Below are 1421 nucleotides of genomic sequence, written 5' to 3' on the forward strand. Positions count from 1 at the left end.
GTTCGAGACTAGCCTGGCCAACATGGCGAAACCCCGTCTCTACTAAAAATATAAAAATTAGCTGGGCGTGGTCGCAGGCGCCTGTAATTCCAGCTACTCAGGAGGGCTGAGGCAGGAGAATATCGCTTGAAACTGGGAGGTGGAGGTTGCAGTGAGCCGAGATCGTGCCACTGCACTCCAGCCTGAGCAGCAAGAGCGAAATTCTATCTAAAAAAAAAAAAAAAAAAAAGAAAAGAAAAAAGAAAGTTAAGTAAAAGATCAGGCCGGGCGCAGTGGCTCACACCTGTAACCCCAGCACTTTGGGAGGCCGAGGCAAGCGGATCACGAGGTCAGGAGTTCGAGACCAACCTAGCCAACATGGTGAAACCCCATCTCTACTAAAGATACAAATAATTAGCTGGGCATGGTGGTACGCACCTGTAATCCCAAATACTCGGGAGGCTGAGACAGGCTAATCACTTGAACCTGGGAGGCAGAGGCTGCAGTGAGCCGAGATCGCGCCATTGCACTCCAGGATGGATAACAGGGCGAGACTCCATCTCAAAAAAAAAGAAGTAAAATCAAAACTAAAAGTGTAAATACCCATATAAGCAAAAGTTTATTGTATACATCTTTATGGGTATTTTATATACCCATATAAGCATATTTTATGTACCTATATAAGCTTATATGGGTATTTTAAATACCCATATAAGCAAAAGTTTATTGTATACATCTTTATTTTTACATACAAGTTATCTTAAAGCAGTGTACTTTTTCTCTGAGCTTCTGCACTGAGAGGTGATGACTCATTTTTCCCTTGAAGTTTATTTCCTAAAACTGAGTCTGGCTTCTGGCTCAGCTCTTTCTCAGTCTGCCTTATGGTTTCATCCACATTTGCTATAACTGTTTTAAGGTAGGTAAAGTTGATTTTCCATGTATTTCATTTCTTTTTCCATCTTCTTTTATTCCCTACTATCATCTTCAATTCATTCTATGCCACTTTCTTACCTATCGGTTTTCTAATTCATTTCTAAAGTAAAATTTCTCCTTTTCAACCAATCACATAAATACTTTTTCCCCTGAAAGTGCCTTTTCCATTGCCCAATTTTGCTCCTTCTGCATAATTGGAATATTTCTATTTGCTACAGATCACACACAGAGTATTAGCGTTGTGTTCTAATGTACTATCTTCCACCAGAAATAACTAAACATGAGAAAAACAGTACTTACACAACTTATCAGCTTAAACTCCTTACCAGACAGGAATTGGTTAGAAAAGGACTTCAGAGTCAGTAAGGGCCAGAAAGAACCTCAGGATACAGGCTGGTCCTGAAGCCACCAGTAAAGAGGAGGCTTGGGGTTAGGCTTCAATTTGGCTTGATAAGGAAGGGGGCAGTAGAAAAGGGGAAGCACAGGGTTTGAAAGAGATCTCTGCTGTC

Source organism: Homo sapiens, chromosome 8 (assembly GCF_000001405.40).
Source record: "Homo sapiens chromosome 8, GRCh38.p14 Primary Assembly".
NCBI lineage: Eukaryota > Metazoa > Chordata > Mammalia > Primates > Hominidae > Homo > Homo sapiens.